The following is a 17,304-nucleotide window of genomic DNA, read 5'->3' on the forward strand; positions in this document are numbered from 1 at the left end:
GTTTTAAAAAATATTTTCCTTTAATTTTAAAAATAATTCATTTTTAAAATATTTTCCTTTAATTTTAAAAATATAGACTTCTGGGTTGACAGATTGGGTTTGCATCAGTTATCCATTTATTGCCTCTCAGCTCTGAATGCATCTTCCAATACAGGCAATACAATAAAGTGTGAGAAGCAATGGAATCCCTTTGAGCATTTCTCCTTTAAAGTCAGCAGGATGTTGAGCTTTCTCGGTAGAGGGTGCTGAAGCCAAACTGGAGAAAGAGGCATTCTGCAATTCCTGGTGTCATCCAAGAGGGGTCAGTGGTGCAGTTTGTTGTTGTTTGAAACGGAGTCTCTCTCTGCGGCCCAGGCTGGAGTGCAGTGGCGCAATCTCAGCTAACTGCAACCTCTGCCTCCTGGGTTTAAATGATTCTCCTGCCTCAGCTTCCCGAGTAGCTGGGAGTACAGGCACCTGCCGCCATGCCTGGCTAAGGTGGTGTAGTTTTGAGGACAACTGTCACAACTCAGATCGTGGTCCCTCTGTGGCCTTGAAGCCTCAGTTTGGCAATAATCTTTCTGCAGCCCTCTCAACACAGAAGCTAACTCCCCACATGCTCGGGCTCCCTAAGCAAGCTTCCTCCTCTCCCCAACCCCCTAACCACCACAGCCTGCACACAGCTCCATGTGTCCCCGATGAGCATTTCGCAAGTCTCCAGATACCCAAGCTTGCTCCTTCAGCACTGAAAGCCTTTGCCCCTGCCATCATCCAGATTCCCACTGCATACTGCTTCACAGCCAGCACTCCAGAAAGTTACCTATTGCTTGCCCAGCAACTCCAGACCAGATCTTTTCTGATCAAACCAATGAGCTTCTCCACTACCCAGTCATCGGAACATACCATCTCCAATAGGCCTATTGGAGAGCAAACCCTATCCATGCTTGTTCTGCTGATTAGACCCATTCTGTTACAGGGTTCTCTGAGCATCTTGGATCTGTGATTTGATGTCTTATATTATTTGTAGATAGTGTTCTGCTATTATCTCTTCAAGTAGGTTGTCTGTCCCTATCTCTTTCTAATCCTTCTGGCATTCCAATTGTACAAATTTCAGACTATCTGATATTAGCCCGTTGATCTTGGATGCTCTATATTTTTTAAAATTTATTCTTTTTACCTCTTTGTGTTTCATTTGGTCAATTTCTATTGATTCACCTTTAAGTTCATAAATTTTTTCTTTGGCTGTGTTAAGTCCAGTGATAAGTCCATCAAAGTCATTTTTCATCTCTGTTATTGTATTTTTTATTTCTAAGATTTTCTTTAGACTCTTTCTTATAACTTCTGTTGAAATTCTCCACCATGCATATTGCCTACTTTTTCCATAAGAGCCTTTAATATATTAATCGTAGGTATTTTAAATTTCCCGAGAGTTCAAACGTCTTTGTCATCTTTGAGTCTGGTTCTGTTGATTACTTTGACTCTTGACAGTGAGTTGTTCTGTCTTGCATTTTTATTTGTCTTGTAACTTTTTATTGCACATGAACACTGTGAGGTATGATAGTAGAGAATAAAGTAAACAGTACTTTTGCTTGGTCTGCCAACATAAAGAAGAGTCTACTGGAATTGATCTGGGTTTAGCCTTTGTTGTTGCTATGGTTACCTTCAGTATACTACCAGTCTCAAATTTTTTGTATGTGTTTTTTTGAGACAGAGTCTCACTCTGTTGCCCAGGCTGGAGTGCAGTGGTGCAATCTCAGCTCACTGCAACCTCTGCCTCCTGGACTCAAGTGATTCTCCTGCCTCAGCCTCCTGAGTAGCTGAGACCACAGGCGTGCACCACCATGCCTGGCTAATTTTTCTATTTTCAATACAGATGGGGTTTCACCATGTTGGCCAGGCTGGTCTTGAACTACTGACGTCAGGTGATCCACCCGCCTCAGCCTTCCAAAGTGCTGGGATTACAAGCATGAGCCACTGTGCCCAGCCTCAAATGTTTTTAATGTAATCTAGTTCTTTGGATGGGGTATGTGTTGCATGTAAGCTGTTTCTAATATTCCTGTTTATCCCTTAGCTTTTGTCTTTCTCTGTGTGTCTGTACCTCAGAGAAGGTCCCTTTTTTATGCTCTTCCTCTTCTCTCAGTGATAGATTGCTACTGTTACTTGATGCCTGCTGGTCTAGTAGTGGTGTATAGGAGAAGACAGGTCTCTGTTTTCCTAGTCCAGCCTTGGTCTTAGGAAGGCCCTGTGTCCCTAAGTCTTGCAGATCAGGTTTTCTCTGTAATTCTGATCCTCCTCTCTGTAGCAGCCAAATGATGTCTTGAATCTTTGGTGGCCCTTGTGAACGGGAGAGTTTCTTGCTCTTCCCCCAGTGGTAGGAGATCTTTAATGGCCTGGGTCAAACACCCAGGAATGGAAGACTTTTCCCTTTTCTTTCTGCTTCCTTGCTGCAATGGTCTTTACCTGTGTCCTAGTGACCACAAGGTTTGCTCCCCTTCTCCAGCATCCTAAGGCTTTTGATCCTTAGAGGACTGACCTTGGTGAGAATCTGTGCTTTGCCACAGAAGTGACACTCATCTCCTCTCTGTCTTCAATATGGAGGAGGGCTTTCTCTCACCTCCTGCCCCATCACCAATCTTTCTTGTGAGTGCACAACGGAGGTCCATGGAGAATACCCTGTAAGTGGGCGCAAGCCTATATTCTCATGCAAGTCCACCCCACGACTTCAGAAATTTGTTTAAAAATTTCACTGAATGATTCTCTCCCACTGTATGGCACCTGGCATCTCTACCTCCTTGGTTTCCCATAGATGACTCAATGGTTGTGTCCAATCTCTCCTTGGGAATGCCTATCTTTCCATTGACTTCAGGCCACCCAATTGCCCTGGGGCTTCAATTCTCTGAGAGGTTTGCCATTACTTTTAATGGCAAAAAAAAAAAAAAAAGGTCTGTCCGTGTTTTGTACAGACACAATTTTACCCCGAATATTTTTGATCCACGGTTATTTGAATCCATGGATGCAGAACCCGTGGATACAGAATGCCATTACTTTTAATGTCAAAAAATGCAATTACTTTTGCACCAATGTAATAGTTCACATACCATATCTTTCGCTTAAAGTATACAAGTCAATGGTTTTTTGTAGAGTCACAGAGTTATGCCATCATCACAACAACAGATTCTACAACTGATCTTAGAACACTTTTATCGCCGCAAAAAGAAATATTCTAGGCCTGGCGCAGTGGCTCATGCCTATAATATCACCATTTTGGGAGGCTGAGGTGGGCAGATCACTTGAGGTCAGGAGCTCCAGACCAGCCAACGTGGCGAAACCCCGCCTCTACTAAAAATACAAAAATACAAAAAAAAAAGAAATATTCTTGATTTTCACCTACCCCCCACCCCCAAACCCGCCAGCAACCCCTGCTGCTCTCCTACCAGGGACCCACTTCCCTGCTTTCTGATTCAATGGATTCACCGATTTTTGATGTGTCATGTAAATGGAATTATATGATATGTGACCTTTTGGGTCTGGCTACTTCCACTTAGCATAATGTTTTATTCACATTGTAGCATGTAACAGAATTTCATTTTTTTAATATTTATTTTTCCAACTTTTAAGTTCAAGGGTACATGTGCAGGATGTGCAGGTTTGTTACATAGTTAAACACGTGCCATGGTGGTTTACCTCAGATCATCCCATCACCTAGATATTCAGCCCAGAATCCATTAGCTATTCTTCCTGATGCCCTCCCTCCTCCCACTCCCCACCCTCTGACAGGCCCCAGTGTGTGTTGCTCCCCTTGATGTTTCCATGTGTTCTCATCATTCAGCTCCCACTTACAAGTGAGAACATGCAGTACTGGTATTTGGTTTTCTGTTCTTGCATTAGTTTGCTGAGGATAATGGCTTCCAGCTTCATCCATGCCTCTGCAAAGGACATGATCTCATTCCTTTTTATGGTTGCATTGTATTCCATGGTGTATATGTACCACATTTTCTTTATCCAGTCTACCATTGATGGGCATGTAGGTTGATTCCACGTCCTTGCTATTGTGAATCATTTCTTTTTATTGATAAATAATATTCCATTGTATGGATATGCCACTTTTGTTTATTCATCAGCTGAAGGACATTTGGGTTATGTCCACTTTTTGGCTATTGTGAACAATGCAGCTATGAATATTCTTGTATATGGTTTTTGTGGATGTATGTTTTTATTTCTCAGTATTACCCAGGAGTGAAATTGATGGAGTATATGGTAATTGTTCAGCCGTTTGAGGGATGCCAGACTGTCTTCCCAATTGGCTGCACAATTTGCATTCACAGCAGCAATGGATGAGGGTTCCAATTTTTCCACATCCTTTTTAGTACAGCTGTCCCTCGGTATCTGTGGGAATTGGTTTCAGGACATCTCATGGATACCAAAATCCACGGCTGCTCAAGCATCTTATATAAAATGATGTCGTATTTGCATATAACCTACGCACATGTTCCTGTATACTTTAAATCACCTCTAGATTACTTACAATACCGAATGCAATGTAAATGTTATGTAAATAGTTGTTATATTGTATGGTTTAGGGAATAGTGACTAAAGAAAAAAATCTGTACATGTTTTGGACAGACACAATTTTTTTCCCAGGCTATTTTTGACCTATAGTTATTTGAATCCACAGATGCAGAACCCACGGATACAGAGTGCCAACTGTACTTACTGGTATCTGTCTTTTTCAATATAGCCATCCTAGCAGGATGGTGTGGTGACTCATTATGGCTTTGATTTGCGTTTCCTTAAAGACATAATGTCGAACACCTTTTCATGTGATTACTGGCCTTTTGTGTATCTTCTTAGGAAAACTGTATTTTTTAGATCGTTTGTCCATCCTTTCTGTATGTTGTCTTTCTATCATTGAAAGAGTTCTTTATACATTCTAGACACAAGCCCTTTATAAAGCTATATGATTTGCAAATATATGCACCCCATGGTGTGAGTTGTCTTTTTAGCTTCTTGATAGTGTCTTTTTAAATTTTTAATACACTTTTTAATTTTGATGAAGTCCAATTTGCCTATTTTATCTTTGGTCCCTTGTGCTTTATGAACATTTGCTCCTATATTTACTTCTAAGAGTTTTATCGTTTCAGATCTGGAATTTAGGTCTTTGATCCATTTTGAGTTAATTGTTGTGTTTGGTGTAATGAAGCAGTCCAACTTCATTCTCTCGCGTGTGTGTATTCTGGTGTCCCAGTTCCAGAAACTCTTCTGCGCTTCTCACATGCTGTTTTCTGGGTCTCGAAACTCCTTCCCTTCTCTTCTCCATCTTTAAAATGCTTAATTGCTTTTCAAGTGCAGCATAACCCATGCCAAAGTCTTCTCTGACTTCTTTGTCTAATTTAGATGTCCCTTTTGGTACTTTTATAACACCGTACATGTTTCTAGACAGAGGTCTGCAAACTTTTTTTTCTGGCAAAGCGACAGATTACAAATATTTAGGCTTTGTGTGCCAGAAGGAAAAATCAAGGAAACTGTGGAGGTACTTAATAAGAGAGAAAACAAATTTCCAAAAATACTTGTATTGATGAAATTAACAAATAATAATAGAGGTTTTTCTTTTTGAAATGTGGGTACATGAATAAGAAAAACTGAATTCTTTTTTTAGAGGGGATAACATTTTGCTTAATTGGGATTTAAAGTTAGTTCTTCCTATCATCAAATTGGTAGCATATGTTCATCTGTGAAAACCATTCTCTTTTTTTTTTGTTTGAGATGGAGTCTCACTCTGTCACCCAGGCTAGAGTGCAGTGGAGTGATCTCGGCTCACTGCAACCTCCGTCTCCTGGCTTCAAGTGATTCTCTTTGCCTCAGCCTCTGGAGTAGCTGGGATTACAGGCATGTGCCACAACACCCAGTCGATTTTTGTATTTTTAGTAGAGACGGGGTTTCACCACGTTGCCCAGGCTGTTCTTGAACTCCTGAGCTCAAGTGATCGGCCTACTTTGGCCTCCCAAAGTGCTGGAATTACAAGCATGCGCCACCGCGCCCAGCTGAAAACCATGGTTTTCTTGGGCCCTACGAAAACAGGTAGTGAGTTAGATTTGGCTGATGGACTGTAATTTCACGACATGGTAGTAGGTCAGTAGTTCTAACCCTTTCTTTCAAAGCCGTTGCTACTGAGGGATACAGTGCAATCCCAGTCATAACTGTGGATAGTTAGACAGGGATTCTCTTTGAGGAGGGTGATGATGGGAGGCTTACGGTGGCAGGAATTACAGATTATCTTAATCAATAATCATTCTTCTGATTTGTCTTCCCAAAGTGTAGAGGAGCCCAAAACTCATTTCTTAGACTTCTTTGCAGCAAGGGGTCTGCCAGCCTAGCACACTTTACATCAAACCTTGATTTGGAAGTGAGACACATGAGCAGAGAATCAGGGCAGTTGGCATGCAGTTTGCCAGTGTGAATGATGACACTGCTGGTGTGATTCTGGAACTGGCAATTAAGGTGGTAGCTTCTGGATTCAGCAAACGGCTCACTGAATCACCAGCTTTTCTGTTGTGCCACTGGAGGTAGCCGCCTTGGAGTCCCAGGTTGTCAGTGTGCTTTGGAGAGTGGTTCTGGGAAACTAAGACCTTCCAACAATGCTGTGACCCAAGACCCCTAATAAATGTTTTATTTATTTATTTATGTCATTTCTCTGTCACCCAGGCTGGAGTACAGTGATCATAGCTCACTGCAACCCCCAACTCTTGCGCTGAAGCGATCTTCCCACCTTAACCTCCTGAGTAGCTGGGACTACAGGCACACACCACCATGCCCAGCTATTTTTCATAGAGATGAGGTCTCACTATGTTGTCTAGGCTGGTCTTGAACTCCTGGTCTGAAGTGATCCTCCTGCCTCGGCCTCCCAAAGTGCTGTGGTTACAAGCATGAGCTATCGTGCCTGGTGGTAAAATGGTTTAAACTATATTAACTTGAATCTTTTGTCTACAACTTGACTATAAGAAGTATATGTGCCGGGCAGGGTGGCTCACGCCTGTAATCCCAGAACTTTCGGAGGCCGAGGCGGGCGGATCACAACGTCAGGAGATCAAGACCATCCTGGCTAACACGGTGAAACCCCGTCTCTACTAAAAATACAAAAAAAAAATTAGCTGGGCGTGGTGGCGGGCACCTGTAGTCCAGCTACTCGGGAGGCTGAGGCAGGAGAATGGCATGAACCCGGGAGGCGGAGCTTACAGTGAGCCGAGATCGCATCACTGCACTCCAGCCTGGGTGACAGAGCGATACTCCATCTCAAAAAAAAAAAAAAAAAGAGAAGTGTATGTTAGAATCTAGGGGGGTATGGGAAGATTTTTATTCTGATACGCTTCTCCCCATTCATAATCACTACTTTTGACAATTCCAGATAGGGCGCATGTCACATTGATGTAGGAGTTAAGAAGAAACTACTTAGGCAGATAGTGAGGGTACAGGAGTCCTTGGTAAGGTCTCCCTTTTTAACGAAAAGCAGCCCCCAAATCATATTCTAACAAAGAGCAGCCTGCAAAATCGAGCTACAGACATAGACATGCAAGCTAGAAGCTTGCATGGGTGAATGCCATCAAGAAAAAAGCTACCTGGGACTAGGCATGTCCAAAATGGTGGCCCCATCTTCCCTCCTCTTTGCCAGCCGTATGTACAGTAAGAAGACAAGATGGCGCCAGTTAAGTGGGAAACCCATTTGCATAATAAGAGTAGGGTGAGGTGGCCAGGCTTCCCTGCGTGGTACGTAAATGTCACACCTGATGGAACCAATCTGTGGGTCCTACATAAAGAAGACACTGCCTCCTCAAGCCTGCTTATAAAATCTGGTGAACGCCGCCGCCGGCTGGTCTTTCCTTTCGGAAGCCCCTCTCACTAGAGAGGGAGCTGTTCTCCTTTCTCTTTCTTTTGCCTATTAAACCTCCGCTCCTAAACTCCTCATGTGTGTCCATGTCCTAAATTTTCTTGGCGCAAGATGATGAGCCCTGGGTATTTACCCTAGACAACCACACCGCTTCAACATCGTAAAAGAAATGGTTGCTTTGCTTAACACTCATCAAGTCACAATTTTGTGTGGGCAGGCACTTTGTCTTACTCACCTCTGAATCCTTGGTGCCAGGCAGTCAGTAGAAGCTTAACGAAATGTGCATTTCTAGGTTTTTATGTTCTAGAATTAATTCTCTATATAAATCTTAGCTTATCTCCCAGTGAGAATGTAAGTTATTTTATGCGGAGAGACTTTAACATAAGGTATCATAAGTCACACGGTCCTGCTGTGCTAGGTTCGGAGCAGTATTGATAATTATTGGCCTTAGCAGGGTCAAGGGATTATCAACACCAGGGCCAGGCAGGTGACGTGAGTGAGTGACATGGGATGACTGCAACACAAAAGGGGTGGCAAAGATCAAGGAAACCTCAAATGTATGTACGTGCAAAGGAAGCAGCTTCAGTCGGGGGCTGCCATATGGGAATGTAGGTTCACTCTTTACAGAACAGCCAATCTGAGTTTTTGCATTGAAGCTCCCTATTTGAAAATGCTGATATCAAATTTTTTTAAATGTGACTTATATTTGCCAGACAAAAGAGGGCTGCAGGCTGGAACTGGCTCATGCAACTTCTAGCTAAAATAGTTCTCCCGACACCTCAAAAGATTGTGAATTCTCAAAGAAAGATAATATTCAATGAGAATTGTTCTTTCTTAGATCCCATATCTGAAGGTGTTCTGTTAAGTGGAATAGAGAAAACTGTGGAAGATTGTTAGTACTTATGGGATGTGTGAAGTCACTGGTATAGTCACTGATTATCTTAGTCTATTTTGCATTGTATAAGGAATACCTGAGGCTGGGTAATTTATAAAGAAAAGAGGTTTACTTGGCTCATGGTTCTGCAGGATGTACAAGCATGGTGCCTGTATCTACTTGGCTTCTGGTGAGACCTCAGGAAGCTTTTACTCATGGTAGAAGGCAAAGGGGGAACAGGTGTGCCACGTGACAAGAAAGGGAGCAAGAGAGATGCCAGGCTCTTTTTAAGCAACCAGCTCTTGAATGAACTAACAGAACGAGAACTCACTCATTACCATGGGGAGGGCACCAAGCCATTCATGAGGGATCTGTCCCTATGACCCAAACACCTCCCACCAGGCCCCACCTCCAACACTGAGGGTTGTATTAGTCTGTTCTCATGTTGCTAATAAAGACATACCCAAGGCTGGGTAATTTATAAAGAAAAAGAGGTTTAATGGACTCCCAGTTCCACATGGCTGGGGAGACCTCGCAATCATGGTGGAAGGCAAGGAGGAGCAAGTCACATATTACATGGTGGCAGAGAAGAGAGAGAACTTGTGCAGGAGAACTCCTGTTTATAAAACCATCAGATCTTGTAGCACTTATTCACTAATACGAGAACAGCACAGTAAAGACCCACCCCCATGATTCAATTACCTCCCACCAGGTCCCTCCAACAACACATGGAAATTATGGGAGCTATAATTCAAGATGAGATTTGGGTGGGCAAACAGCCAAACCATATCAGGGTCACCTTTCCATATGAGATTTGGAGGGGACACATATCCAAACTGTAGCACTGGTGTAGATGTTGTTGTCTAAGGATCTAGAGTAGATGAAAAAGCTTGAGGGGTCCAGGCCAAGGCAATGATGAGGCTTTACTGAAGACGAACTAGACAGAAGGCTGCTAACATTGGTGTGAATCTGGCAAAGGAGTTGTTTCAGCTCTTCCCAGAGCAGACAGCAAGCAGGGTGCAGGATAGCAGTGGGTTAAACAAGTGAAAGAAGGAAAAAGTGCTTCTGGCCCTAGGAAGGAAAAAATGGGAGGTCTTTCTGCCAGGAATGAGACTGTCTGCAGAGTGAATTAGCAGTGGTAGATGGATTCATTAAAAGGCATCCCTCTAGGCCAGGTGCGGTGTTTCAATCCCAGCAGTTTGGGAGGCCGAGGCGGGCGGATCACCTGAGGTCAGGAGTTCGAGACCAGGCTGGCCAACATGGTGAAACCCTGTCTCTACTAAAAATACCAAATTAGCTAGGCGTGGTTGGCGCATGCCTGTAATTCCAGCTATTCTGGAGGCTGAGGAAGGAGAATCGCTTGAACCCGGGAGGAGAAGTTGCGGTGAGCGGAGATCGCACCCTTGCACTCCGCCTGGGCAACAAGAGCGAAACTCCGTCTCAAAAAACAGAAACAAAAAACAAAAAACATCCCTCCTCCTGTACTGCCAGGGCACTGCTTTTCATTTTCCATCTTTCAGCTGTGAGTGAAATGAAGACACCCATCTGCCCAATGGTAGTCTTGAGGTTGCGGGATGCTTGACCACAAAATGCAATCTACAGGTTACATGTACCTTCTGCAGCTTTTGCTTTTAGCTAAAGCTTTTTCTGTAACCTCATTTTGGCAGTGCAGGCAAGGAGGGAGTGTTGACCTGTCAGTGTAGTAGAGACTCCCAGGTGTCCTGGGTGAAGTTGTGCAGAGCATTTGGGATGTTCTTAAAATAATACCCTGGAAGTTCTTCTCTGCATGACCAGAAGCCATGTCAGAACTCTAATGGCATCACCTGCTGAGTTAGAAAAAAGTTTCCAGAAACCACAAGTTTGATTTCATAATAAACAGCTTCTCAGGGCCTCTTCGGCATGGCTACATAAATCTACTGCTTAAAAATAGATGAGTGGACTGGGCGCGGTGGCTCACGCCTGCAATCCCAGCACTTTGGGAGGCTGAGACGGGTGGATCACGAGGTCAGGAGATTGAGACCATGCTGGCTAACAAGGTGAAACCCCATCTCTACTAAAAATACAAAAAATTAGCTGGGTGTAGTGGCAGGCGCCTGGGCGACTGAGCGAGACTCAGTCTCAAAAAAAAAAAAAAAAAAAAAGATGAGCGTAGAGCCTTGCTTCACTCCTCTGGCACTGTACACCAAGCTGGAAGGGCCACTGATGATACTGGAACCATCTTCTAGGCCCCTGGGAAATTCTGGGGGAGGTCAACATGGACACTGAGCTCTAGGGCGTGAAGATTCCATTTGTCTGGTATGGGGCTGCAGCAAAGGCTGGAAGGTGGGTATTTGGGTCTCATCTGCTGAACTGCCCTTGTTTCTAAGGTATTCTTCCCCAACCCCTGTTATCTACTCTCCTGAAAGCTTTTTTCAATTTGATCCCCACTTCCAAACTCCATTAGTCATATGGTCTGGCTCTGTGTCCCCACCCAAATCTCATCTTGAATTGTAGCTCCCATAATTCCCATGTGTTATCGGAGAGCCTGGAGGGAGACAATTTGAACCATGGAGGCAGTTTCCCCCATACTGTTCTCGTGGTAGTGAGTAAGTCTCATGAGATCTGATGGTTTTATCAGGAGTTTCTGCTTTTGTATCTCCCTCATTTTCTCTTGCTGCCACCATATAAGAAGTGCCTTTCATCTCCAGCCATGATTCTGAGGCCTCCCCAGCCATGTGGAACTGTAAGTCCAATTAAACCTCTTTTTCTTCCCAGTCTCAGGTATGTCTGTATCCACAGCATGAAAATGGACTAATACAATTAGGCAGCTCTTTAAATATCTATCTTTCTAATCTATATATCACACGTAGGAAACCCTGTCTCTACTAAAAATACAAAAGTAGCTGGGCATGGTGGTGCATGCCTGTAAACCCAGCTCCTTGGGAGGCTGCTTGAACAGGAGAATTGCTTGAACCCGGGAGACAGAGGTTGCAGTGAGCTGAGATCGTACCATTGCACTCCAGCCTGGGCAACAAGAGTGAAACTTTGTCTCAAAACAAAACAACACCAAAAAAAAACCCCATACGTATTTATATGTGTGTATATATGTAGATACACATATAAATATGTATATATGTATTTACATATACAGACACATATAAATATGTATGTATATGTATATACATCTAATATATATATATATAGATGTATAATTTCACGTGTATATATGCAGGTATATATGTATAAAACTTTCCCTGTGGACCAGACGGGAGTCCGGTGGTGCAATCATAGCTCACTGAAGCCTCACATTCCTAGGCTCAAGGGATCCTCCCACCTCAGCCTCTTAAGCTGTTAGGGCTACAAGTGTGTACCATTACATCCAGCTAATTTTAAAATGTTTTTGTAGAGATAGGGTCTCGCTGTGTTGCCAGGCTGATCTCAAACTACTGGGCTCAAGCAGTCCTCCCACCTCAGCCTCCCAAACTGATGGGATTACAGGCATGAGCCACTGCACCTGCCAACTCTTTAAATATTTGAAGGCTGTAGCCATACCTTCTTCCTACCTGGTCTGTTTAAGGAAAAATAAAAAAAGCAATCTATGTTCCATCACGCAGCACCCAAGTGAAATGCAGCCTGTGCTTTCACCAATCTGACTGCCCTTTTCCAGAACCACATCATTTTTATCTCTGTCACTATTTATTCAACACAGATATTTATGCAGCACTCAGGGAGGTCCCTTGGGAGGGTTAGGGAAAGACTGACGTTTTACGCAACATCTGGGTTGGGGCTTGTAGAAAGAGAAAGAGTTTACCAAAGAATGGGCAAGTTCCCAAGAGTATCAGAGAGATTGGCACAGAGATAATCAGGAAATATCATACAGATGGGGGCTGCATTCTTCCCTGGGGTGGAAATTTCATTCCATAGCCATCATTTCCAGATAGGGACACATAGCTGTGCCTACCCTGCCCAGAAAGACAGTGAGAAAGTTGTGATACAATGACGACAGACTTTTTTTTGCTTATTTGGTGCTCTATCCCCAGTGACTGAAATCATACCTGGAACACAGAAGGTGCTCAAAAAACATTGGGTAAATAAATCAACAAATGAATAAAGTGAAGTCAGTAGGAAGATCAGGGAAAGGTCAGTTAATGGGGCTTCCAAGAGATTCCCATAAAGGACATTATAGCCATAATGTGTGTCTGAGAGTGGGGCGGGGGAAAGAAGAACTGAGAGGAGCATTATAAAAACGTACACAGGGCCGGGCACGGTGGCTCATGCCTGTAATCCCAGCATTTTGGGAGGCTGAGGTGGGCAGATCACGAGGTCAGGAGTTCGAGACCAGCCTGGCCAACATGGTGAAACCCCGTCTCTACTAAAAATACAAAAATTAGCTGGGCGTGGTGGCAGGCACCTATAGTCACAGCTACTCGGGAGCCTGAGGCAGGAGAATCACTTGAAACTGGAAGGCAGAGGTTGCAGTGAGCCGAGATGGCGCCACTCCAGCCTGGGCGATAGAACGAAACTCTGTCTGAAAAAACAAACAAATGAACAAAAAAACCACACACAGACCCCACAGACTCACTGAGAACAGAGAGCGCCATGGTGGGATAGCAGGAGGGGGCCATGAGGCTTGAAAGAGCAGGAGACGGACAAACATCTGCACTAAATCAATGCTTGTCAATGCCTTCATCATCAATTCAATGCATTCAGTCATCAGGATGATTGAATGATTGAATGAATGAATGAATGAATCCAAAATGGAGTCCTGGAAGAAAACAAGACACAAGGAAACCAAAGCTTTTCAGCAATGTTCTAATAAAAGAATAAGAGGGCAGACTAAAGACAGCATGCATTTTAAGCTTCTTGCAACACAATGATAGGCAAGGGAAAATCAGGTCAGGAATTAGGAATACTAGGTCATATCTTTTGCGATACTGGATACTACTTATTCCGTGTTTAACATGTGCCAAAGTACAGCAGTGACCACAGTCTCAATACACTTAATGTGTATGGATGTGGCCGGGCGTGGTGGCTCATGCCTGTAATCCCAGCAGTTTGGGAGGCCGAGGTGGATGGGTCACTTGATACTAGGAGTTCCAGACCAGCCTGGGCAACATGGTGAAACCCCACCTCTACTAAAAATACAAAAAAAAAAAAAAAAAAAGTTGGCCAGGCATGGTGGCGGGCACCTGTAATCACAGCTACTTGGGAGGCTGAGGCAGGAGAGTTACTTGAACCTGGGAGGCAGAGGTTGCAGCAAGCCAAGATCGTGCCATTGCACTTCAGCCTGGGTTATAGAGCAAGATGTTGTCTCAAAAAAAAAAAAAAAGTTTACGGATGGTAGTTATGATCATCCTCTCCACCCCACATTCCCTAGACAGGAAAATGAGGCAAGAAACAAAGGTAATTTGCCTAAATACACTGCTTGGAAGTGGTGGAGCTGGGATTGGGATTCACACTGTGATCTGAGACACCTCTTTATATCAACTAAGACAGACCCTAACATTAAGGACACAGAGGATACCTAGGGGTAGAGGTCAGGGCCTGGCTGGCATGGTGCATTTCTAAATTCCTCAGGCTACTAGGAAATCCATACTCTTGCCAAACTCCCTAACAATGGGAGCTACCAGGGAAGTTACCAGCTGATTTACAACCCAGACCATATCAACTCCAATGGACAGAGGATACGCCTTACAAACAACATAAGCAACTGCGGACCTTAAGCCAGTTTCAGCCAGCTTATAGAGGCTGCACAAAAACTGTGTCCCCTCCTAAACCTTTGTTATTGTTGTTGTTTTGCAGTTTTCCCTCTCTTCAAAGGTATATCCCTTCAAGGGTCTCAACTGGAAACCTGGAAGTTTACCAGGGTTCCTCCCTTTTTCCAGGCTCTGATCTCCACTTTTTTTCTCCTCAGCACTGTGAGACTGACAAAAATCTGATTAATTTTTTATGCTTTGAGCACCTAGAAACAAAGATGTATTGAACTTGTATTTTACAGTTTATGAGTTGGTGAATGCCTTGAGGTGAAATTTCATGCAATCTGTTCTTCTGGGATGGAGCCCTTCAAGTTCAGGCTGACTTACTAGCCATTAACTCCAATCCTGTAGACTCATCCCAGTGAGTACCACGATCTCAATGCCACTGCTTTCTCTTCCACCTTTATACTTGTTACAGCAAATTTCCTGAGAGTAAAATGCTGTGGAAAATATCAGGCTTATGTCAATGCACTCTTCTCTCTGACTTTTTGGACCCTCAAGTCTTAGTTGTCTTGTTTACTTTCCAATACCATGAAACAGCTGTTCTGTTGTTTGCTATTCAGTTTTTATAGTTCTTCTTCTGTTTTTTGTTTGTTTGTTTTTTCAGAGGGGGCCTCAATCTGTCACCCAGGCCGGGTTGGTGTAGTGGCATGATCTCAGCTCATTGCAACCTCCACCTCCAGGGCTCAAGCGATCCTGCGATCCTCCCACCTCAGCCTCCCGAGTAGCTGAAACCACAGACACAGACCACCACGTCCAGATAATTTTTTGTAATTTTGGTAGAGACAGGATTTTGCCATGGTGCCCAGGCTGATCTCAAACTCCTGAGCTAGGCAATCCACCCGCTTCAGCCTCCCAAGGTGCTGAGATTACAGGCGTGAGCCACTGCACCCAGCCTATAGTTCTTTGTTATAGAAGCTTAGTTTTATACAAATTACTCCACTATATCCAGTCGATGTCTAAGGAAATTATTTTCCAAACAAGACTCCAAGGTTTAATAAAAGCCCCCCAAAATCAGTGGATATAATTATATCAATATTATGAATTTCTGGCCAGGCATGGTGGCTCACGACTGTAATCCCAGCACTTTGGGAGGCCAAGGTGGGCGGATCACCTGAGGTCAAGAGCTCAAAACCAGCCTGGCCAACATGGTGAAAACCCATCTCTACTAAAAAAAATACAAAAATTAGCTGGGTGTGGTGGCAGGTGCCTGTAATCCCAGCTACTTGGGAGGCTGAGGCAGGGAGAATTGCTTGAACCCGGGAGGCGGAGGTTGCAGTGAGCCTGGATCACACCACTCCACTCCAGCCTGGGCGACAGAGTGAGACTGCATCTCAAAAAAAAAAAAAAGAATTTCTGTTCAATAAGGACACCATAAATGAAGTTAACTGACGGGGGGAAGACTGAGAAGGCAATATTTGAAGCCTCTAAAATTGATGGTACCTAGATAACAAGACAGCAGACCCAGTATCAAAAATGAACAAAATATATGAATAAGAAATTCACAGAAAGGTAAACCCAACAGCCTCCAAGTTTATGAAGAGAGGTTCAATTTCATTCATGCTTAGAGAAATGCAAATGAAAAGCAACAATGGTATACACTTGACAACCATCAAATTGGTAAAAATTATAAAGTCAGATAAATGTTCATGAGAAATTAGAGAAAAAAGAATCTTTTGTGCTGCTGGGAAGAGGGTTAGTTAGCATCATCATGCCAGAAATCAATCTAACAGGCAGTGTGTACTTTATATGCCAGCAATCCCATTCCAAATGATATATTCTAGAGAAATTCACACAGGTATGTAAGGGGCCATGAGTGAGAATGTTTATTAGAATGTTTGGGGATTAGGGATTGGGAGACATTCTGACTGCCCCTCATTAGGGACATAAAAAAGTCAACTGGGCTGGGCCCGGTAGCTCACGCCTGTAATCCCAGCACTTTGGGAGGCTGAGGTAGGCAGATCATCTGAGGTCAGGAGTTCCAGACCAGCCTGGCCAACATAGTGAAACCCTGTCTCTACTAAAAATACAAAAAGTAGCCGGGCGTGGTGGTGCACACCTGTAGTCCCAGCTACTCGGAGGCTGAGGCAGAAGAATTGCTTGAACCCAGGAGGCCAAGGTTGCAGTGAGCCCAGATCACATCATTGCACTCCAGCCTGGGAGACAGAGCAAGTCTCTGTCTCAAAAACGAAAAACAAAAAACAGAACAGTCAACTGACTCTGCCAGACCGCCACGCCGCCGTCATGGACACCAGCCACGTGCAGCCTATCAAGCTGGCCAGGGTCACCGAGGTCCTGGGCAGGACCGGCTCTCAGGGACACTGCACGCAGGTGCGCGTGGAATTTATGGACAACACGAGCCGCTCCAGCATCCGCAGTGTAAAAGGCCCCGTGTGTGAGGGGGACGTGCTCACCCTGTTGGAGTCAGAGCAAGAGGCCTGGAAGTTGCGCTGAACTTGGCTGCTCACTGGGTCTTGGATGTGGGGTTTGACCACTTGGCTGGTGGGAATGGTGTGCCACGATCTGCTCCTATATTTTATTTTTTGCCCGCCACACGGGAATTGAGATGCGCCTTTAAAGCATTTGTGCTTCAAATTAAAAAGAAAGAGTAAGCTGAGATGGATGGATGTGATGGAATGCTCTGTGGCGATCCATCAACTAGTGATATCTTTAGCAGGTGATTAGATCTTAAAAGCATAATGTAGAATGAAGAAGGTATGATATAGAAGGGTATCTGTAGTACGAAAGGAAAATATCTTGGGCCACTAATATCACTAAGGAAACCTAAAGCCGGGAACTGCTTAGGGCAAACCTGCCTCCCATTCTATTCAAAG

The 17,304-nt window shown here is 44.0% G+C and overlaps 1 protein-coding gene and 1 pseudogene across 14 annotated transcripts in view, besides 2 other annotated features; one reads left to right on the top strand and one right to left on the bottom strand.

Moving 5' to 3' along the window:
- The window catches only part of CALN1 (calneuron 1), a 724,789-nt gene that overhangs the window by 146,054 nt on the left and 561,431 nt on the right, over positions 1 to 17,304 (bottom strand). The gene's annotated exons all lie outside the window — the stretch shown is intronic.
- Positions 16,259 to 16,759: an enhancer, noted in NCBI's record as "H3K4me1 hESC enhancer chr7:71406788-71407288 (GRCh37/hg19 assembly coordinates)". NCBI's record gives its function as "activates a minimal SCP1, AML or CMV promoter by ChIP-STARR-seq in primed H9 embryonic stem cells {active_cell/tissue: H9 hESC(primed)}" and the evidence as "EXISTENCE:reporter gene assay evidence [ECO:0000049][PMID:30033119]".
- Positions 16,689 to 17,069, top strand: RPS28P6 (ribosomal protein S28 pseudogene 6; annotated as a pseudogene).
- Positions 16,760 to 17,260: an enhancer, noted in NCBI's record as "H3K4me1 hESC enhancer chr7:71407289-71407789 (GRCh37/hg19 assembly coordinates)". NCBI's record gives its function as "activates a minimal SCP1, AML or CMV promoter by ChIP-STARR-seq in primed H9 embryonic stem cells {active_cell/tissue: H9 hESC(primed)}" and the evidence as "EXISTENCE:reporter gene assay evidence [ECO:0000049][PMID:30033119]".

This window comes from Homo sapiens, chromosome 7 (genome assembly GCF_000001405.40).
Source record: "Homo sapiens chromosome 7, GRCh38.p14 Primary Assembly".
Classification (NCBI taxonomy): domain Eukaryota; kingdom Metazoa; phylum Chordata; class Mammalia; order Primates; family Hominidae; genus Homo; species Homo sapiens.